This window comes from Homo sapiens, chromosome 4 (assembly GCF_000001405.40).
Source record: "Homo sapiens chromosome 4, GRCh38.p14 Primary Assembly".
Taxonomy (NCBI): domain Eukaryota; kingdom Metazoa; phylum Chordata; class Mammalia; order Primates; family Hominidae; genus Homo; species Homo sapiens.
The window spans coordinates 1558945-1579115 of NC_000004.12; the positions used below are offsets into that span (position 1 = coordinate 1558945).

Below are 20171 nucleotides of genomic sequence, written 5' to 3' on the forward strand. Positions count from 1 at the left end.
GAATTCTGGAAGCTTGGAAACCCCTGAGCCCCGGGTCCCCGTGAGTCTCCCTTGGCAGCAGAAGCTGCCCCTCCCCTATCAGAAGGGACCCACCCCCCGTGCTACCCCCACGCCAGCACCCCCGGCTGGCTGCCCTCCCCACGACCAGAAGGAAACTGTCCTGTATTCTCTGAATACACAGCCTGAGGGACAGGAGACCATGCAGGGACATGGGGAAGCAGCGTGAATGTGGATTCTGAGGGTGTCACACCAAGGGGGACAGGTCTGGGCTGAATGTTCCTACTCCTGCAGTTGGAGGTGCCTCTTGGAGTTCACTTGGACCCTAGACTCCGTGGTGGCCTGATCCCATGAGGCTGAGATGCCACAACCTCCCCGCACCGTGGGAGGAGGAAGCCGGGCCACCTGAGGAGGACGAGGGAACCCTGGGAGATGGCGGGAGGCAACCGCGCCAGCTGGCCTCGTGAACAGCACAGAAATGGAGCTGGGGGTGCCCGTGTCGTCATCACGAATCCAGCCATCTCATGAATGCAATTACGTCTTTTTACCCTTTCTCCTACCCTTACTGGTTTTTTGCTGTTGTTGTTTTTTGTTTTTTGTTTTGAGACAGGGTCTCCCCCTGTCATCCAGGCTGGAGTGCAGTGGCGCGATCTCAGCTCACTGCAGCCTCTGCCTCCCAGGTTCAAGCGATTCTCCCGCCTCGGCCTCCGAGTAGCTGGGATTACAGGCGTGCACCACCATGCCCAGCCTACCCTTACTTTTTAAATATTTGTGGTGTTTGGCACCGTAGCTATGGGTTACAGAAAGCCCAGGTGATGTCACACGGAATTTACCCCTGCGTGGTGCCTGCGGGGTGGCTGGAGCCAGGGTCTCCGTCTTGGGTGGGGACTCGGGGAGAGCTGCAGTGTCCTAGGCAGCCACCTGGGGCCCGGTCACATGGAAGTCAGATGTGGGCCTGGGCCGCCGTGCAGCGATGGCTGTGCCAGCCGTCTGCCTTGCCTCTCACCTCCACCCCACCACATCGGCCACTCTGCCCTGGGGCTGGGACTGACCCTTCACCCTTGCTCCCAGGCTTCCGACCACTGCCCTCTGGTTGGGTCCGGTCAAGGGAGCCCCTGGCCGCAGCCCAGAGGGATTGGGGGCCTGGACCCCTCCACATCTGTCTTGGGTGGCATTTCTTCACCTCGGCTCCCGCTGGCAGGTGCCTCCTTCTTGATCCTCCTTTTCTAGGAAGCCTGGCCTGACTCTGCGTCCCCAACTCCAGCTTCACCCCGGCAGCCTTAGGACATGGCAGCGGCCTCCTGCCGTGGGCCACGGATTCCCGCACCGCCTCGGTCACCCGGTCTTCAGGCGCGGCCCCTGTCGAGTCACCCGACAGACTCGTAGGTTTGTTCTGTTTTTCAGCGCCCTGCGTCAGCTGCCTGCACACCGGGCCCAGCTCAGCTGTGCATGGCTCCAGCACCATTTTAATTATCGTATCCACTGCAAAATGCGTCATTTCTTGTTGTGTTAGCGGTCGCTGTTTCCTGACTCCCTGCTGTGCGGCTAAATGAGTTAGACGAATCTGTTCTCTCCTGAACTTGGCGGAGCTCCTCGGCACCCCACACTGTTCTGGGGACTTGGGCTGCCTCGGAGGAAAAAGAAAACAGATGTCACCATGCCCTGTGGAGCCTGCGTCCTAGTGCGGATGTGGCAGTCGGTCCACGGGATGCACGCGGGACCCCAGGTGAAGGTGACCACCGTGGAGGAAGGTGGGACAAGGCGGGAAGGGCTGGGCGAAGGGAGCACGGTCACCTGGGGAGCGGCTCCAGACAGGGGACAGCAGGAGGCCCTCGCCACAGCACCTGGTGTGGGAGGCACAGCCAGGGTCATCGTGGCCACGGGCTGGAGGCCAGAGGGGTCTGTTCTGCGCAATGGCTGCTGAGCTGCAGCGATGGGGTGGACGCCGAGGGGACCCGGGCAGCCGAGAGGCAGCATGAGGAGGGATTGGGTTCTGTGCATTTCCATGGTGCAGCCATGGGAACCTCTATGGGATGAAGGGGCCGGGAGAAGCTGCGGGGCCCATGGCGGGGCCTGGAAGGCTGGGCACCCCTCACTAGGTACGGGGACTTCTGGGCAGCAAGTGATCGGGGATCGTTAGGATTCAGCCATGTTGAGTGTGAGAAGCCTCTGGGACAGCCGGGTGGAGATGTTGGGGCCTCCGGACTCACGGCCTGGGAGTCGGCGGCAGGAGGGTGGCCAGTGGTCATCAGCACAGGCGGCTCGAGAGGCCAGGGCCGGACAGAGCAGGTGTCAAGCCTCGGAGCAGAGGACCCAGAGGGCAGGCACAGCCACAGGCCTGGGAGCCGGGGAGCACAGAGCCCTGGACACACACCGGAGCACGTTGCAGAAAGGAAGGGCTGGTCATGTGTGTGTAGCGTGTCTGTGAGTGTCTGCGTGTGTCTCTGTGACCATGTGTCTCTGTAAGGGATTCTGTGTATTTCTGTGTCAGTATCTCTGTGTGTCCACGTGTGTCCACATGTGTCTGCATGTGGGATGCCGAGTACCTGTGTGTGTCTACGTGTGTCTGTCTAGGTGCATGTGGTCTGGGGCTGCACAGAGGCTGGGTGGGGATGCTGACAACCATCCCAGACTGAGCCCTGTAGCCCCGAGAGGAGGGCGTCGGTAGCCTGTGGAGCATGGCTGGGAGGGACCCCTGGAGCTGAAGCAGACAGGTCAGGGTCACCGTGACTGTCTCCCGCCCTGGTTCTGGGACCCTGGGCCTCAGGGTCTGGGCCACCTCTCCCTGGCCGGGTGGAGCAGCTCCATGGCAACCCAGGTCCCCACCATCCAGGACAGGGTCTGCCTCAGCCTCGGGTGGCCGAGCCAGGCAGGGTGAGGCCGAGAGGGCAGAGGATGGGAAGCCCAGGTACCCACTTCCGCCGCCGGCCCCACCGGCCTCCCTCACCCCTCCCAACAACCCACGGCCTGGGAGTGTCGATTCTGCGCCACTAACTCATTGATCGCCTTGCCCGGGTTAATTAATTAATTAGGGGCAGCCATGGAGCACAGTGGGCTGGGGCCAAGGAGGGACCCCAGCGCCGGGAGCTTTATTAGTACATAAAATGGGTGTTTAAAACACACACGGCCACGAGCGTGCAGTTGAGGCTTTTCATTAAACAAACCTATAACATTACGTGCCTCATTATGTATTTCGAGACTTCCCCTGCCTTCCGCGCTCCCTCTCCACCTGCCTCCCCGCGCACTCCAAGTGCCTATTTGAAATCAATTTCTCTAATAATGGACTTAATGAGCTCATCAATTAGAGCTGCCATAACCGAGTGTCGTGGGCTCTGCGGTTATCAGTTAAACTCTGGAACTAATTTCCATGCTTCATCTATCACGGGGCGCCCGCGACGTGGGGCTGCTGCTCTGGGACGATAGGGAGACCCCAGGCCCTTCCCGCAGGTCTCGGGGCCATCCCTGGAAGAGGACAATGAGGACAGAGTGGCCCACCTGGCCGAGAGCGGCCGAGGCGCGAGGCCGGTGTCATTAGTGGTAATGGATGGCCGGCGCGGGCCCAGATAAGACGTCCTTCCACATGGTCAGCCCCATTAGGCTGTTCTCGTCTCGCCCCAAACCCTCTAAATAACACCCCAGCATGGTAGGAGGCCAGCTGCCTGGGGACTGTGGTGCCTCAAATCCTGCGGCTCCCGCCTGCTGTCCAGCCCAGGGCTGGCGTGGGCCGGGCGAGAGCACCCATGGGCAGGCAGAGCTGGCAGGACCCCAGTGGTCAGGAAGGGAACCTGGAGAGAAGGTTCCAGAAGCTGACTGGGGATGGGCTTTGGGAAGGGAGGTGTCAGGGCATCCAGGGCTGCTGCTGGACACGGCAGTGTGGGTCCGCAGGTCTAACAGGCAGTGGTCTGGAAGGGGCTGCTGGGGGGAGGGCCGAGCAGAAGGAGGGTGGCCCGTGTGGGTGGGCAGGGCCGAGGCCAGGATGTTGAAAGCAGGATCTGCTCTGCCCGCTGCGCCCAGCTCTTGGGACAGTCTGGTGCGCAATGAGGCTCGAAACAGGCGGACGGATGGGCAAAGGGAAGCTCAGACAGCTGCCTCTGCCCCAGCTAGGGGTGCTTCCCAGAAAAAGCAGACCCCGCACCTGAGGTCCTGGATACAGGGACAAGGACCTGGAGAGGGACAAGGGGCACCAGAGCTGCAGACCCAGGACTGTGTGTCTCCTAAGCCAGACACCTCCTGGACTGAAGGAGAGGAGGAAATGGGCCTCTTACCTGGGGTACTCTTGGGAAACTGAGGCACAGAGCTTGTGCCTCCCTGCCCAAGCCAGAGACCACGGGGCCAGCTCCCCACGGGGTGAGTGTTGCCCACATGGTCCCTGCCCCAGCCTTGGCCTGGCTGTCTCTGCTAGGGTGGTTCAAGGTGTCCTCAACAACCCCATGGCTGGGCCCGGGGTCTCTGGGCAACTCCTCACCTGCCTGGCCCGTCCTCCCTGCAGCCCTAGAGGCCCCCGAGTCTCCATCCAAGCCATGCACCCCCATCCCAGCCTCAAGCCGAGGACCGCCCTTCCTCCTGTCCTGCCCAGAAAAGCCTGAAACAGTTCACTCAGTCACCCCTAGGGACCCCACCCGTTGCTGCCCAGGCCCCATGCACTTTGGAGAGCTGGCGTGGGGAGGTGGGTGGTGATTTGGGCAGGTGAAGGGCCAGGGTGGGGGCACTGGAGGAGCAAGGAGCCTGGGAACCACCTCTCCCTTCCACCCTGCCCACCCTTCCACCCCCACCCCTGCCCCAGGGTGTCTCTGGTGTCTCCACTTAGCCCCTGCCCCCTTCGATTTGTCATAATCAGCTCGGCTTTCTCATTAGCGAGAGGCCATTAATGAAGCTTTATCAGCAGCTGGAGGCCTGGCCCTTCCCCATCTCCGCCTCCCGGCCACCCTCAGGGCTGCACCCCCAGCCCCTACGGTGGAGGCAGGAGTGACCTGTGTGGCACCCTCTGCCCCCACTCTCCCCAGCACCTAGCACATCCAGGCCCAGAACTTGGGGTGACTTAGCCCCAGGGAGGATGGTCCCGGCGGCCCCAGCCCTGGGGTGCCCCTGGTCACTGCACTAGGCTTAAGGGCACCCACCCTGTGCCCTGCACCACCGTTGGCACTGGAGTGAGGGCTGGAAGGCTAACTGGTTGCCTGTGGGACCCAGGGACACAAAGCAGAATGGTTGAGGGGGAACAGGCGCACACCTGAGGGTCAGCAGGCTTCTGGAGCACAGGGTTGCCAGTGGGGATCTGAGCAGGGGAGGGGCAGGACCCCAGAGGCTATGTGGCCTCAGGCAGCAACCCTGAGAAGGCGGAGCGGGCGGCGGGACAGGTGTGTGTGGGAATGACACAAGAGGAGCAGGGAGGGGACCAGGAAGAGGCTGTGAGAAGACGGCTGATGGAGAGGCAGAGCTATGGGAGCTGTGCGGTGTCTGCAGGAGGAAGGAGACGTCAGCTAGGCCAGATAACGTTGCGGGTGGGGGCGTAATTTGGGGCCTGAGACTTGCCCCCGAGGTTTAATAAGGTCCCCATGGTGACCAGACAGAAGCCCCCTCGGTGTGGGTCCGGGAGGGCCGTGGAGGCTGCCCCTCCAAGGGAAGGGGGTGGGCTGGGGTGCCAGGGAGGAGGGCAGGGGGTGCAGGTCAGGGGAAGGTGCTTAAAGAAGGAGCAGGACCAGCCAGCCTGTCTTTGCTGATGGCTGAGGAGGGGGCCTTGTGGGGTCGGTGGTCTAAGAGGCCAGAGTGAGGGGCAGGATGGGGGAGGCTGCAGATGCAGCTGGCTGGGCTGGGGGCCCTCAAAGGCGCTCCCCTTGCCCCTCAGCTCCCCAGCATGCCAGGCCTGCTTGCCGACGCAGACCCCTCCGCAGCCCAGCTCAACAACCTCCCTCAGCTGGCGTCCCTCTGGGAGTTGAGCCAGCATCATCCTCCCCAGCTGTGGGGCCAAGCCCTGTCCAAGGCCTCCTAGTCCTGGGGACCCTGGCCTTGCTCCCTGGGTCCCACGTGGGGTCATCCTTGGCTGTTCTTTGGGCCTCCATGTTGGGGGACTCTCGGCAGCTGCCTGGGTGCAGGTCGGAGTCCCCAGAACGTCTGCTCTCGGTAGGCAGGACCCTGACCTTGCCAAGGCTGGGCCCCTCTGGCAAGGCGGGTGAATGATGGATGAGCAGTGAGGGGCCCTGCCCCACCCGACTGCTCACAGCCTTTCCCTCGTCCTCACCTCTGTCTACCCCCGAGGCCACTCCCCTGCAAGCTCAGACTGGAAAACCCCGTGGCCCCGTCAGCCTCGAAAGAGGTCAGGGCGGTCAGTGACAGCAGCTCCCGACATGAAAGCCACTCAACACCCCTGCTCCTCAGGGGTCTCTCAGAACCATCAGCTCAGAGCCAGGCACTGGGTCATTGCTCAGCTGGGCCAGAAATGGGGGTAGGGGGAGTAATTTGGGGCCTGAGACTTGCTCCAAGGTTTAGCAAGGTTTAGCATCTCCTCCAGGTGGGGACACACCCACACAGGTGAGGTTGCCCCTGGAGGGGACAGAGGCCTCTATGTGGGTGGGATCCTGGGTTCTCAGGCCTGGCCCTGGCCTTGTGGGGTGAAGACCCTGCAGGGGGCCCTCTCAGTCTCTTGGCCATAAATCAAACCTGTGCAGGCAGGTTGGCTGTGGCTCAACCTAATGACCCCATGGCTAGACACTCCTAAACCCAGGTTTAGGAATGTCGTTCTTGGTGTCCAGTGAGACTGCTGAAACCAGCTTCAGGATGTCCACAGGCCCAGGCAGAGCGAGGGTGTGGCCCCGCAGGTGCCCCATGGGGACAGACAGCTCGCCTGCTGCCGGTAGAGAGCATCCAGCAGAGGGGCAGAACTGGGCTCTCCAAGTACAGAGAAGCCAGAACGCTAGGTCATGTGTGTGCACGCCAGCCTCCTCCATCCGTCCCTGGGGACTGCGGTAGAGGCAGGTAGGGGACAGTGTGAGGTCCCACGGCACTGAGAAGGACCTCAGATCCAGGACAATGACCCCCTTCGTCCCTGGCAGGGAGGCAGGAGCCCCACCTGCAGAGGGGGAGGCAATGACCCCCTTCGTCCCCGGCGGGGAGGCGGGCGCCCCACCTGCAGAGGGGGAGGCTCGGCGGATCCCAGGGGTAGTCTGTGTTTGTGTCTCGTGGGCATCAGACACAGATGCTGTCTGTGCTGGAGCCCGCCAAGAAAAGGGTGGCACCAACCACAGGGCTGCCAGCGCTTCCTGAGCTGACATGGAGGCGGCACCAAGCGGGCCCCGCAGAGCCACCGCTAAAGACGCAGTGCTGCCGATGCGGAGATGAGAATGCCACGGTGCCCAGGAGCACCAGGGGAGGCTCCCAGGCGTCCACTCTCCCGGGAGAGGTGAGGGAAGGTGTAGATGAATGCTGGGAGCTGGTAAATCCAGACTCCCCAGGACCATGATCAGAGGAAAGCTGCAGGGCAGGCAGAGGGGCAAGGCTCCCACCAACAGCATTCCCGGTGGACTGGGCTCTGGGTGGGGCGGGGCTCCAGGTGGGCGGGAATATGGCTGGAGTCACAGGTGGGTGTGGTTCCAGGTGGGTGGGGCTCGGGTGGGTGTGGCTTTGGCGGGAGTCACAGGTTGGGTGTAGCTCCAGGTGAGCGGGAATATGGGTTGAGTCACAGGTGGGTGTGGTTCTGGGTGGGTGTGGCTCCGGGTGGGTGTGGCTTCAGGTGGGTGTGGCTTTGGCGGGAGTCACAGGTTGGGTGTAGCTCCAGGTGAGCGGGAATATGGGTTGAGTCACAGGTGGGTGTGGTTCTGGGTGGGTGTGGCTCCGGGTGGGTGTGGCTTCAGGTGGGTGTGGCTTTGGCGGGAGTCACAGGTTGGGTGTAGCTCCAGGTGAGCGGGGCTCCCTTTGGGTGGAGTCACAGAGGGGGGCTCCTGGGGAGGTCCAGCCCCAGGTCTCTCTTCTTCTCCACAGGGAAGGCCTGTAAGTCAGCCCCTCCCTTGTGACCCTCCTGGAGCAGGGGCTGGGCCAGGGGGTCCCCCCACCCCCGTCAGGTCAGGCACCCACTGCCCTTCCACATCAGCTGCAGCCTCGGCTCTCTCGCCTCTCCTCCTGACCCTTGAGTCATCGGGGCCTCCCTGTCCTTGGTGCCGCTCAGGCTCTACCTTCACTCCGCTGCAGTCCCAGGCTTCACAGCATCCCACCCTGCGGGCTCAGATCTGCAGATGTGTGCAGCCCTTTCCCCAGCACCCTGCCAGAGCCCAGACCCTCCCAGGGCAGCTGGAGGAGCAGGGCTGGTGGTACCCGGTACTGGTGGAGGGCAGACCAGTGGAGGGAGAGAGGGAGGGGGCAAGGTCCAGGACCGGCGGGCGGGTGCTGGCTTTGCAGCATGAAGGACCTGGGGCTGCGTGAGGCCCACCCACTCCTCGCTGCGCAGGGCGGGGAGCAGCCTCGCCTCCTGCCGGAAGAGAGGCCCCATCCTCTGAGCTCCCCTCCCACCCCCTGCAGCAGCCCTGTCCCCCGCCATCCCCCACCAGGGACTTTCAGGACCTCTGCCCCCTCCTCCGGCCCAGAAGCTGGCCATGGCCCCACAACCCAGGCTGAAGGGGTGGCCCTGGCCACGCCCCCTGTGCCCAGCAGAGTCCTGGGATCTCCTCTCTCCTCAGCACCTGCTCCCCCTTTGCTGAGACCACACACCCAGCCAGATTTGGGGGGCTGGAGAAACCCCTAATCATGACTTGGGCTCGGGGTCCCTCCTCGGCCTGAGGCCACATCGTTAAAACACCTGGGGCCAGGACAGCCCGAAAGGCCCCCAAGGACCTACCAGGAGCAGCCCCAGCCCAGGGCCCCCGGCCCCTCCAGCCTCCCCTCCACACATGGGTGGAAGGTGCAAGGGGATGGGGGACACAGCCGTCCACACGTGCGACCAGGGGAAGGGCTGGGCAGCACGCCCCGCCCTTCCACAGCTTGGACCCGCCCAGCATCATGGGATCAACCTTGACCCCAGCTCGGCCCCAGTGTGTTAGGCCAGACCGGCTGTGGAGGTGCAGGCAGGGCCGGCAGGGACGGGGTTAAGAGCACGGCGCCTCCCAGGCCTCCCTCCTCGTTCCCTTTGAAATGGCTCCCTGGTTCCAGAATGACTCCGGCTTCCCCTCTTAATCTGTATTTTACGAGTGAGAAGGTTTGCATTATGCAAATCGTTAGATAGGAACAGGTGACATTTCAGCAAAGAACACGGCAGGCGGCGGCCTGCGGCTGCTGATTTAGACATTAGTATTTGTCACCAGGGCGGCGGGGGCGGAGGAGAACTCGGCCACGGAGGGCTCCTCACACCTTAAGGTGGAAGTCTCCCAGCCGGGGCAGGCCGGGCCCGCACACCCTGAGGCCTCCCAGCGACCAGCACACCACCCGCGGGAGCTCCCTTCTGTGCACCAGGCTCCGGCCCAGCAGCACCTCCTGGAGCTCACGCCGCCACGGTGCAGGGCAAGCACAGGCCCATTTTACAGATGAGGAAGCCGAGGCCCGGCGAGGTGATGGGCGGGCTGGGTCTCAGCTGGAGAATGGGGCAGGGTCCAAGCCAGCCAGGGATGTCCCCACAGCGAGTGTCCGGAGGGCCCACTCCCCACGACTGCACAGTTCATTCTGCGGGTCCTTCCTCCAGCAGCGCCCCCATCCCAACTCCACCCTCTCCCATGCAGCCCACAGACAGCCTGGGGCGGCCCGCCCACCCCACCCCACCCGCGCCGCCTCCCACCCACCCCACCCGCGCCGCCTCCCACCCACCCCACCCGCACCGCCTCCCACCCCACCCCACCCGCGCCACCTCCCACCCCACTCCACCCGCGCCGCCTCCCACCCGCGCCGCCTCCGACCCGCAGCCCCGCGGCGCTCTCCTGGGCAGGCTCTGCGGCACCATCCATCATCCACTGTCAGAAGCATCCGCGTCCATTTCCCGGGAAGTTGTTTGAGGGGAAATGGACGAAAGAGAAGGGAGCGGCCACGCACTTCCCAGGGCGCCCCGCGAGCCCTTCAATTTTCCAGCTGCCTGACAACGCCCACGGCGCACCCAGCTCTGAGGGGCATGAGAAACGCCAGGCCCTCGGGTCCTCCAGAGGCTGGGAGAGCCGTGGAGCCACCGGGGCAGGCTTTCCCAGGAGCCCCATGGGGGCTGTGGGCCGCAGCACGCAGCCGGAACATGGACGGCAGTCCCGGGCAGACCCTCCCGGCACAGGCCCGGCAAGCTGCTGTCCCGGCTTCGAGGTCTCTGGTAGGCTGAGCTGGTTGGTCCTGGGGCTCCTGTGTGGCCGTGGGTCTGTAGGCAGCCAAGGGCAGTATGTCCTGGGGAGCCTGCAGGGCACCGGGCAGGGCCCAGCTCCCCACAGCCCGCCTGGTCTCTCCGGCCTCTGGCTCTGAGTCTGCAGGATGTGGAGTGGGCTGCAGCAGGCTGCTCTCTGTGCTTCTGAGAGGCTGGGCAGCCCTCTGGGGAGCTCAGGGGAGTTTGGGGTGCCGTGGTCCAGGACGACCTGGATGACCTTGGATGACCTCGAAGGCCTTTTGGCTCAGACGACCCTGGATCCCAGGGGTGTGTGGGCAAAGGCAAGAGAAGGCCCATGAAGAGAGGCTGGGCCTGTTGTGCAAGGAGAGCAAGGCCAGAACCAGCGGCAGGGCCAGACGGCAGCACTGAGCACTCCGCCTGTGCAGGGTGACCCCTCTTGCCCTGTCCTTGCCTGTGGGGGAGGAAGGGTGGGGCAGCAGAATACCGAGGTGGGAGCCCTTTGTGGAGCCGAAACCATGGCAGCCGGGAGGCCAGATTCACCCACCCCAAGGACCCCCAGACCCCCGGCTTCATACAGCAGCGCAATGGCATTAGTAACACGCTTTTCTTGGGGAGACTTTGGGGCAGAAATGAAGTTGCAGGCAACATGCCATGGGGGAGGCAGAACCCTGGACACAGCCCAGCTCCAGGGCGTTGTCTGGGGCTCACGCCACCTCTGAGACACCCGCGTAGGGGGCGCATGGCTGGCTTGTGGCTGGCAGATGCCGGTAGATGCACCTGGCTGAGGAATCCGCTCAGATCCTCAGCAGATCTGCCTGGTGCTCACAACCCCACTCCAGGGGCTCCTGACACTGAGAGGCGGGGATGTTAGCTCCTGGCTTATCTAGCGGGGTTCCTTAGGCCACAGAACTTTGGGTTCTGGACACCTGTGGGGCTGTGAGGGGGGTTGACCCTGGGTAGGAAGAGGGTGCAAGGGCACGGAATTCCTAACTCACGCCTGGAAGTGTGCGGACAGTGTTTAGCCAGAGGGGTGGCTCAGTCCTCAGACATCACACAGAGTGGGTCATTCAGCCACTCAACAAACACAGGGATCCAGAGGGGACAAAGGAAGTGGCCCGGCCAGGGTGGGCTGAGCACCCTCCATGTGCCTGGCATTGGGCTCGGTGCCGGCCGTGCAGTGAAGGCCAGGGCCCTGTGCCTAGCAACAGAGCAGCTGGGTCCTCGTCTGGCACCCCCACGAGGTGGCTTATCCATCTACACGGGTTGGCTCTGACACCATCCACGTGTGCCAGGTGAGGACAGTGAGACGCGCTCAGGGACCTGCCTCCCTCTCACACTGCTCGGCTCCACAGCTCCCCCAGTGCACGCCCAGAACCAGGTCAGGGCCTGGCGGTTCACGGCCCGTCTGCACCCCTGCATCAGCAGCAGGGGTCCCCAAATGACGGCCCGTCCTCTCTCCTCAGGGGCTTCTCCAACCCTAGTTCCCCGAGCCGAGTGCAGCTCCTCCTGGACAGCCCGTCCACTCCAGGCCAACACAGCAGCACAGCCCTGGTGTCAAATCTGAATGGACCCAGCAAGCCTGAGACAGGAGAGGAGAGAGGGTGCCCAGGCGGGTAGAGGCAGCCTCAGCCCAGCTAAGGAGGTCAAGGAGGCTGGGGAGGCCCCTGGGACCAGACCTGCCGGGCTCCTGGGCCTTTGAGAGGGGCTTGGAGGAGCTGCTTAAGGCTAGACTAGTTGGGGGGGGGGGGTCTGTGGGGGTGAAGAGGATGCCCCAATCTCGACAATGTGCAATGAGGCCTTGGTGGGCAAGGCTGCGGGTTGGAACCTGTGTTTATGCATTTGGGGACACCCTTCTCCGCTTGGGGCACTGCAGGTGGGGGCCTCAGGGGCCAGGAGGGCCACAGGGTGAGGGCAGTGCCCAACCCACCACAGGTCACAGGTGTGCAGCAGAGGTTTCCAAGGGTTAGGAGTGTGGGTAGGGCCATGGGGGGCAGACTCTGACCCTCATCCCTAGTTCCCAGGGAAAGCGGGGGATGCTGGCCGCCTCACTGAGGGTCTGGCAGACCCCAGCCTAGCAGTCTTGCCCCAAGCACGGTGTCTGCAGCTGTGAGTGCAGGGGTGGAAGCAGAGGCTGAGGCTGAGCCTCACCGGGCCAGGCCGCTGGCTGCCCAGCCTGTGTCCTCTCGGAGCCCACCCGTTTCTTCCAGGCTTCCCCGGGAGAATCACCTGCTATTTTTCCACCTCCCTTAGCCCTGACTCCAGCCAGGCAGGGCCTCACCTGGGCTGGGGTCGGCAGGTGAACCAGACCTGGTGCCGGGTGCTGGTGCTGCCAGGGAAGAACGTCTCCAGGTCCTGGCGCTGGCAGGAGGAAGGTGTCCCTGGAGTTGAGGGCTTGTGCTCGCCACCCTAAGTGCTCTTTCCTTTGGGTCCAAGTGTGCTCTTCATTGCCATGGCCCCACGAGGCGGAAGGGCCTCCTCAGCAAGCCGCTTGGGGGTGACCTCCTGCTTCTCTTAGAGCCCTGACCCTGCACAGGGGGAAGGGAGCGTGGAAGGGGTGCATCGTGCAAGGAGGTGGAAAGCTGCTCTCTGGGCTGCCCCACCCTTCTCTGATCCGAGGCCCAGGGCAGCAGCCACCCTTATTTTCCTCGCCCTGGAACAAGTGTGCATGCAGCGGCTTCTGACACACACACATGTAATAAACAGACAAGGAAACACATTTAATCTGCTTTTCTCTTAAAGCACTCTGTGGACTGAGGCCTGGTGAGATAGGAAGACGGTGGGTCCCTGGCCCACTCTGCCTGGGAGCTGAGCTGTGGGGTCAGGCGCTCTGACACCTAGAGGAGACAAGACCCCCGCACCCTGGGGCCTCCCACACCCTGAGTTCCCAGCCCCGTCCCCCATCCCAGCCCCACCACCAACGCCTGGCAGCCACAGCGTCACCCCCGCTCCTGCGGCAGGGGAGTGTTGTCCTGGCGTCTCTTTCCTGGGATCCCAGCGCTTTGTAGTGACATTTAAGATGAAAAGAAAGGGAAGTCCTCCCTGCTCTAATGTGTACAGTTCAGGTTGGAAATTAGCATGAGAAAAGGAAACACTCTCCTTATCTCTGGGAGCGAATGGGCCAGCTCCTCCACTCCTGGGCCTTTGTCTACTGTCAATAATCACTTACCTTCAGGCCCATAAATGTCATTCTTGGGGTGCTCATAAACAGCCCCGTCTCTTTTTAAATTAGCAAGTAGAGATATTTATGGGTTTCTATTAAGGGTGGTGGGTGGGGGAGTCGGGAGCACTCGGCAGCTGTGATAAGGGAGAGGTTGGGGGGGCCTGCAGGAGGCACGGAACCCCCACCCAGCTTCCAAGGCGGGAGCCCCAGCTAAGGCTCCATGCAGACCCGCAGACCCTCACCACACTCCTGTGGGGACAGCTGGGGGACATCCATGGCTTGGTCGGGGGAAGGGGGCTGGAGGCCTAAAAATCACAAAGAGCGAACCACCTGTGGCAGAAGCCAGGTGGGGGTTGGTGGGCGCATGAGGGTGGGAGGGGCTCCAGCAGACGGGCAGATGATACCACCAATCCTGACTCCTGCCCCAGAGGGGCCGGGCCTCAGCTTCCCCAGCTGTGAAAAGGTGTGGCCAAGCCACTGTGGAGGCAGGTGAGGCCCCTGCACACGCAGTCACACCAAACATCCTATGCTCACATGCACACACTGTCCACTCGCAAAACTGCTCACACATATACTCACATGTACACACACACATTCACACACATTCACTCACACACAGTCATTCACATTCCCACATTCACATTCACACACACGTTCACACACATTCACACACCCACATTCACACAATTCACTTTCACACACATTCATTCTCACATTCACATTCACACACATTCACACACCCACATTCACACAATTCACTTTCCCACATTCTCACATTCACACTCACATTCACTCACGTTCCTTCACACACACATTCACATTTACACCCATTCACACACACATTCACACACATTGACTCACATTCACATATTCACTCACATACATTCACCCTCACACATTCAAACACACAAACACACAGCCTCCCACCTCTAAAATGTCTCTCCACACCTCCCACCCCTTCAGCTTCTCCCCCATCCCAACTCTTCCTTCATTTTAGATCCTTCTTCATTCCCAACTCCTCCCTCTTCCTGGTTTCTCTCTCATCCCAGCTCCTCTTTTTCCCCAGCTCCTCCCTCATCCCAGCTCCTCCCTCAGGTCCTCACTCTTCCCCAGATCCTCTCCAATCCCCAGCTTCTCCCTCATCCCAGCACCTCCCTCATTTCCAACTCCTTCCTCTTCCCAGATCCTCCCTCATCCCAGCTGCTCCCTCATTTCAGCTCCTCCCCAATTCCCAGCTTCTCCCTCACTGCAGTTCCTCCTCATCCCCAGCTCCTCCCTCCCAGCTCCCCCCATCCTCAGCTCCCCCTCATCCTCAGCTCCCCCTCACCCTCAGCTCTTCCCTCATCTCAGCTCCTCCTCACCCTCAGCTCCCCCCATCCTCAGCTCCCCCTCACCCTCAGCTCCTCCCTCATCTCAGCTCCCCCTCACCCTCAGCTCCTCCCTCACCCTCAGCTCCTCCCTCATCTCAGCTCCCCCTCACCCTCAGCTCCTCCCTCATCTCAGTTCCCCCTCACCCTCAGCTCCTCCCTCACCCTCAGCTCCTCCCTCATCTCAGCTCCCCCTCACCCTCAGCTCCTCCCTCATCCAGCTCCTCCCTCACCCTCAGCTCTTCCCTCATCCCAGCTCTTCCTGCATCCCCAACTCTTCCCCTCCTTCCCAGCAGCCACACTGCACACCAGAGCCGGAGTGATTTTTAACTTTCACTTCCGAATAATGTTAGATTTACAGAGTAGTGCAAAGACAGCACATAGAGTTTGGATGCCTCCCCCGCCCCCCTACTGTTTCATCTTGTCGCCTTCGTCACAGCCTGGCACGTGGCTCTTCCCTGAATTCCAGCCTTCCTTTGGGCTCCTGCTTTCCCAGTGCCGTTTGTCTGGTCCAGGACTCTGCACCATCTCCTGAGGCCCCGCTGGTCTAGGACGGCCTTGACAGCTTTTGGGGGCACTGCTTGACATCCTGCAGAGTGTCCCAGTCAGGGCTGGTCTTGGGGGTTGTCTCAGGGCCGGACTGGTGCCCTCCTCATCCCCTCCCACCAGGGTCAAAACCCCCGCCTGCCGGTCATGTGACTGCTCTCCCCCGGTGCCCTGTGTGTGGGGAGAGTCAGTGAAGCCCCCACTCAAATGGTTCAGCTCCTTCTCTGGGGACATCCAGCACGTTTCTTCAGATTCCTCTGTGAGGAAGATTGGAAGACATTCTTTTAAAACACAGATGGTCTCTGGTGCCCCCACGCCTCTCTTCCTCTGTGGCCCTCAGCCAAGGGATCATTTCAAGGGACCCCCAGCCCCACTCTGTCCCAGCCCCTCCTGTGGGGCCTTGCACACACGGGCACCCCTGAGACAGGCGAGGCCTGGACAGGTGCAGGAGGTGGGCCTGGAGCCGGTGGGTGGGGCTGGCTGGACGGCAGGTGGTCAGCGGGCGGCAGGCTCAGCTTGTCTCTGGCAGGAGGGCCCACGCCCTGTGTGCCAGGCTGCTGGGCCTCCCCGGACGGACCGGCTGCCCGAACCCCTCGGCTATGGCAAGCTTTCATGGTCTCTGCCTCCCTCGGTGTCAACACATGACATTGAGGTTAAAAATGTGCCAGGTGGATGAGTGACAGGCCTCCTTCACAGAAGGTGGCCACAGAAGCAACCTGCACATCTAAAGGCACGTGACAGCAGTCCAGTCCCCACGCAGTGAAGGGGCCCCATCCGCCCACCAAGAGGACAGGGTGCAGCAAGCCAGCTACCCCCTGAGTGCCCACTGCCTGCCCATGCCCTGCTGGGGGAAGAGGCAGCTGGGGGCCACCCGGCAGGGCTGACTGCATGGGACATACCCAGCTGTGCTTGCAGTCCCTGAGGAGGGCTGGCAGCCCCTTCAGGAGAAAGCGCAGCCACAGGATGGGATGCTGTGTGGACTCAGGTCCAGGGCTCCACCACACCCCAAGTCTCTCTGGCCCCCAACCTTACCCCATCCCACCCTGTGCCCGAGTTGGCATCATCCAATCTCCACTTGGCATCATCCAAGGTGCAGACTGGATGCAGATCATCCAGTCTGAGTTTTAGGAGACTTTGACAGGGGAGATGGCTGCGGTCTGGCAGGGGCCACACCAGGGGAAAGAAAGGCAGTGACAGGCACAGGCAGTGCCCCTGACAGAGGGGTGGCCTGGGAGGGGGGCTGTCAAGGGGGTTGCTGAAGGTATGGCAGGAAGACAGAGAGGCAGGACGGGGAGCGCCTTGCCCGAAGCTGAGTACAGGTGGCGGCTGTCCAGCAGGGGGAGGGAGGGGTCTCCATGATACTGAGTGGCAGAGGAAGGTGCTGGACACTGCCCCCACCCAGGAAATGGCCTGGCACCCCTGGGGTCCTAAACAAGCCAATCTCCCTCCTTGCCAGAGAGCAGGAGCTGGGGGCAGAATGAGGAGGCTGCTGGGTCCCCAGCATGGGTTGGGAGAGCCATCATTCTTGGAGGCCTGATAAGGGGTGGGAAGGGAGAGGGCCACCCTGAGACCCAGGCATACAGGACAGTCCACTGAGCCTGGGGTCACCAGGGGCACCTCACCCCCGGGACCCCCTGCAAGCCACCCGGGGTGAAGTGGCCCCAGGGCAGTGTGAGAATTCCACACCCCCCACCTGCCCGGCTGTGGGCTGCAGCCTCCCTCCTGGCCATCCCAGCAGCATCTGCAGCTGGGCCTATGCGGTGAGTCCACCTTAAGTGGGTTTGATCGGCCCGTGCACTGGTGAGAGCATGCTAATATTGGCTCCAATAAAGAGCAAATCAGGGCCCTAGTCGACGCGTCTTATCACACAGTCAGAACTGATGGCTGCAGAAGTCATAAAGATCCCATTTAATCTCGCGCCTATCTATCACGCGGCTGCCTTCATCCTCTTTGTGCCGGGGTAATATGTGCTCATTACAAAAGCAAAACAGATCTGGCATGAATAAACGCAGGATGAAGTGCTCACTCGGAAAGTGACAGCATGATCAGTGGCGGCAGTAATCGCAGAGAATCGCGGGCTAAATTATTCCATAACCGTGATTTGAGGGGACAGCCCAGAGCACCCCACAGCTGCCTGCAGCACAGCGACGTGTCCTGATAAAACATCCTTCCCAATTTACGGGGCCGCGCTTGACTAATCTGCCTCCGCGCGCACACTGTCTAATCATGCCATCAGCACCGCGAGAAGGGGCTCAATTGGGACTCCAATGAAAGGAGATTGGAAAACTACCCTCAATTGAAATTACATTTGTAAATGAGGCAGAGTTTTCTGTTCAGAGTGTGAACGTTACGGTAAATCTGCTCCAGAAAGTCGAAGAGGCGGCAGCGGTGGGCAGGCCGGGGACGCCGCAGGGGCGACTGGGACTGTGCCCCGGCTGGGGCCAGGGTCCACATTCTGGAGAGGTGCCCGGCACCATGCTGGCCCCTGGGGACAGCCCCAGGAGAGGAGAGGGGCTGTGGCGGAAGCCCGGAGAGTTGGGCCTAGTTTGTCAGACATCAGACTTCACTTCCCACTCTGTAAAATGGGGCGCAGGGCGGCCTCCTTGAGGGAGGGGGTAAGACAGAACGAGGGGTGAGTCAGAGCTTAGTTGGTCTCCTCTCTGCCTTCCAAGGGTGCCCCCGCCCCTCCCTCCCACACTGCACACTGTTCCCGGCCCCTCCCTCCCTCCAGCCCTCTGTGCATCTGGTAGTGTTCCGGGTCCTCTCTGAGGCAACTGAGCGGGTACGGTGGGGACAGGGGCACTTCCCGCACCAGGGTGTTGGGTCTGAGGCTGTCCTCGTGGTAGGGGAGGGCTGGACCCAGATCACCTGCCTGACCACGTGCCCAGGACATTGGCCAGGCACACTCACTGGGACACTGCAGGAGGGGAGCACACAGGGAGAGCAGAGGGGACCATGTGCCAGACGAATGGACCTGCCCCCTCCAGGACAGTGGCGAACCCAGGGGAAGGTGGCCTTGGGCCCTGGAGGTCCTCTCCCAGACAGAGGCAGGGCCTGTGCTCAGGGCTCAGGGATGGCCATGCGGACCCCGCCAGCAGACGGAGCCTGGACGCCAGCAGCTCCCGTGGCCACAGGGTGCGGGGTGGTAGGGGGGCTACTGCCTGCTGGTCTCACCTCGTGGACTGCTGGCCAGAGTGGCCCCAGCAGCAGCGGTGAGGTACCCAGCACCTCCTCAAAGGCCTTTATGTAAATCAAGTCCTAATTAGGCCATCCGGCGTTTGTGTAGAATATCATTTTTTTAATTACCAGCCCTGGGCAGGTTCCCCGGCTGCCTGTTGTGCGCCAATTACCATAAATCCCCCGGTAACAATTAACAATGTTGGAGCGAGCTGCATGTATTTCCAATGTTATAATTATGCGCGGCGCTCTTGTTAATTGGCCTATCTGACTCTGTACTTTTTATGCCGCTCATCTGCTCATTACCGCGGCCATTTAATTCAATTAGCACCTTAATTAGAGGGACAGCCTTGTCCAATGTCGGGGCCTTGTCAGGGAGCCGCCTGATGAGCAGAGACAAACACAGGCTCTGCCGGGACCAGGCAGCCGCAGGGCTGCGGGTCGGGGGCTGCAGGTGAGGGGCTGCGGGGGTGCAGGTGGGGGGCTGTGGGGGTGCTGCCCGGGGATGCTCTGGGGGTTCTCCCCATGCCCTTGACCTGGCTGCCCTTGCAGGCCGGGGTGAGCAGCCACAGCACGATTCCTGCCTGCGATTCCTGCCTGCCCTGAGCGCCTTCCCCTGCCACGACCTTCAGGCGCCTGGGAAGGTCTGCAGTCCTGGCTGTCAACACCCCCAGGCCCCCCCCAAGCCTGGACACGGCCCCCAGACCGGCACGATGTCCAGGCTAGGTTTTGTTTTGTGCCAGTCTATTGAAATCGCTATTCCCTGCCTATTAATTCTCCTAATTAGAATTAAATGAAGCATGCTAAATTGCTAGATTAACCAATAATTAAGCAGCCACTGCACTAAAACTGAACACCCCGGGTGGCCTGCACCCCGTCTGCGTGCAAGTGCCAGGGGCGGGCGTGCCAGGCAGGAGGGGCCGACCAGCCTTGGGGACAGCGGTGCGTGCGCTAGTGCCCGCACCCGGTGTGTAGAAGGGCGCGAGCGTTGGCGTGAGAGCCGGTGTGGCCTGGAAGCTCTGCAGGAACGTGTGGGGGTAGGAGGTGAGGGGACCCTCAGTTACGGGGAGAGGGCATCACACGGGCCTTGCTGGGGGCAGAAGATTTGTCGTGAGCGCGACAGACCCACTAGACTCTGCAGGTCCCCATGGGAAGCGCCCTGCCCTCCACGCCCACCTACGAGGTCGCGACCCCCCTACCCCGAACCGCCCTCTGCAGACAACGAGGCTCGGAGGAGGCAAGCAGCGAACCAAAGCTCCCACCGTCACCAGGGAAGGGAGGGGAGGGCAGGGCAGGGAAGGGGCGGAGGAGGGGAGAGAAGAGGGGGAGAGGAGAGAAGAGGGGGAGGGGAGAGAAGAGGGGGAGGGGAGAGAAGAGGGGGAGGGGAGAGAAGAGGGGGAGGGGAGAGAAGAGGGGGAGGGGAGAGAAGAGGGGGAGGGGAGAGAAGAGGGGGAGGGGAGAGAAGAGGGGGAGGAGAGGGGTCGCCTCTCGAGGCAGAGCAGGCGGGAAAGGGCGCGGCCCGGCTGCGACACCCCTAGGCCCCCCACCCCCGCAGGCGCAGAGCCGGGGCGCTCCCCCCATTGCACCGCCCGCCCTCCAGGCCGGAATCGAGGTCCCCTTCCCAGCGCTGCTGGACGCCCCTCCCGAGCGC

The 20171-nt window shown here is 62.2% G+C and overlaps 1 protein-coding gene across 1 annotated transcript in view, besides 9 other annotated features; it reads right to left on the reverse strand.

Moving 5' to 3' along the window:
• Positions 1906 to 2435: an enhancer, noted in NCBI's record as "H3K27ac-H3K4me1 hESC enhancer chr4:1562577-1563106 (GRCh37/hg19 assembly coordinates)". NCBI's record gives its function as "activates a minimal SCP1, AML or CMV promoter by ChIP-STARR-seq in naive H9 embryonic stem cells {active_cell/tissue: H9 hESC(naive)}" and the evidence as "EXISTENCE:reporter gene assay evidence [ECO:0000049][PMID:30033119]".
• Positions 7440 to 8257: an enhancer, noted in NCBI's record as "H3K4me1 hESC enhancer chr4:1568111-1568928 (GRCh37/hg19 assembly coordinates)". NCBI's record gives its function as "activates a minimal SCP1, AML or CMV promoter by ChIP-STARR-seq in primed H9 embryonic stem cells {active_cell/tissue: H9 hESC(primed)}" and the evidence as "EXISTENCE:reporter gene assay evidence [ECO:0000049][PMID:30033119]".
• Positions 8258 to 9076: an enhancer, noted in NCBI's record as "H3K4me1 hESC enhancer chr4:1568929-1569747 (GRCh37/hg19 assembly coordinates)". NCBI's record gives its function as "activates a minimal SCP1, AML or CMV promoter by ChIP-STARR-seq in primed H9 embryonic stem cells {active_cell/tissue: H9 hESC(primed)}" and the evidence as "EXISTENCE:reporter gene assay evidence [ECO:0000049][PMID:30033119]".
• Positions 9077 to 9894: an enhancer, noted in NCBI's record as "H3K4me1 hESC enhancer chr4:1569748-1570565 (GRCh37/hg19 assembly coordinates)". NCBI's record gives its function as "activates a minimal SCP1, AML or CMV promoter by ChIP-STARR-seq in primed H9 embryonic stem cells {active_cell/tissue: H9 hESC(primed)}" and the evidence as "EXISTENCE:reporter gene assay evidence [ECO:0000049][PMID:30033119]".
• Positions 12625 to 13402: an enhancer, noted in NCBI's record as "NANOG-H3K4me1 hESC enhancer chr4:1573296-1574073 (GRCh37/hg19 assembly coordinates)". NCBI's record gives its function as "activates a minimal SCP1, AML or CMV promoter by ChIP-STARR-seq in naive and primed H9 embryonic stem cells {active_cell/tissue: H9 hESC(naive and primed)}" and the evidence as "EXISTENCE:reporter gene assay evidence [ECO:0000049][PMID:30033119]".
• Positions 13403 to 14179: an enhancer, noted in NCBI's record as "NANOG-H3K4me1 hESC enhancer chr4:1574074-1574850 (GRCh37/hg19 assembly coordinates)". NCBI's record gives its function as "activates a minimal SCP1, AML or CMV promoter by ChIP-STARR-seq in naive and primed H9 embryonic stem cells {active_cell/tissue: H9 hESC(naive and primed)}" and the evidence as "EXISTENCE:reporter gene assay evidence [ECO:0000049][PMID:30033119]".
• The window catches only part of FAM53A (family with sequence similarity 53 member A), a 111956-nt gene continuing 106902 nt past the window's right edge, over positions 15118 to 20171 (reverse strand). Inside the window, exon 5 of the mRNA XM_047449667.1 lies at positions 15118 to 15600. Within this exon, the coding sequence (XP_047305623.1) occupies positions 15556 to 15600 (45 nt within the window). The 3' untranslated portion in view covers positions 15118 to 15555. The remainder of the gene's footprint in view (positions 15601 to 20171) is intronic.
• Positions 17316 to 18189: an enhancer, noted in NCBI's record as "H3K27ac-H3K4me1 hESC enhancer chr4:1577987-1578860 (GRCh37/hg19 assembly coordinates)". NCBI's record gives its function as "activates a minimal SCP1, AML or CMV promoter by ChIP-STARR-seq in naive H9 embryonic stem cells {active_cell/tissue: H9 hESC(naive)}" and the evidence as "EXISTENCE:reporter gene assay evidence [ECO:0000049][PMID:30033119]".
• Positions 18190 to 19063: an enhancer, noted in NCBI's record as "H3K27ac-H3K4me1 hESC enhancer chr4:1578861-1579734 (GRCh37/hg19 assembly coordinates)". NCBI's record gives its function as "activates a minimal SCP1, AML or CMV promoter by ChIP-STARR-seq in naive and primed H9 embryonic stem cells {active_cell/tissue: H9 hESC(naive and primed)}" and the evidence as "EXISTENCE:reporter gene assay evidence [ECO:0000049][PMID:30033119]".
• Positions 19064 to 19936: an enhancer, noted in NCBI's record as "H3K27ac-H3K4me1 hESC enhancer chr4:1579735-1580607 (GRCh37/hg19 assembly coordinates)". NCBI's record gives its function as "activates a minimal SCP1, AML or CMV promoter by ChIP-STARR-seq in naive and primed H9 embryonic stem cells {active_cell/tissue: H9 hESC(naive and primed)}" and the evidence as "EXISTENCE:reporter gene assay evidence [ECO:0000049][PMID:30033119]".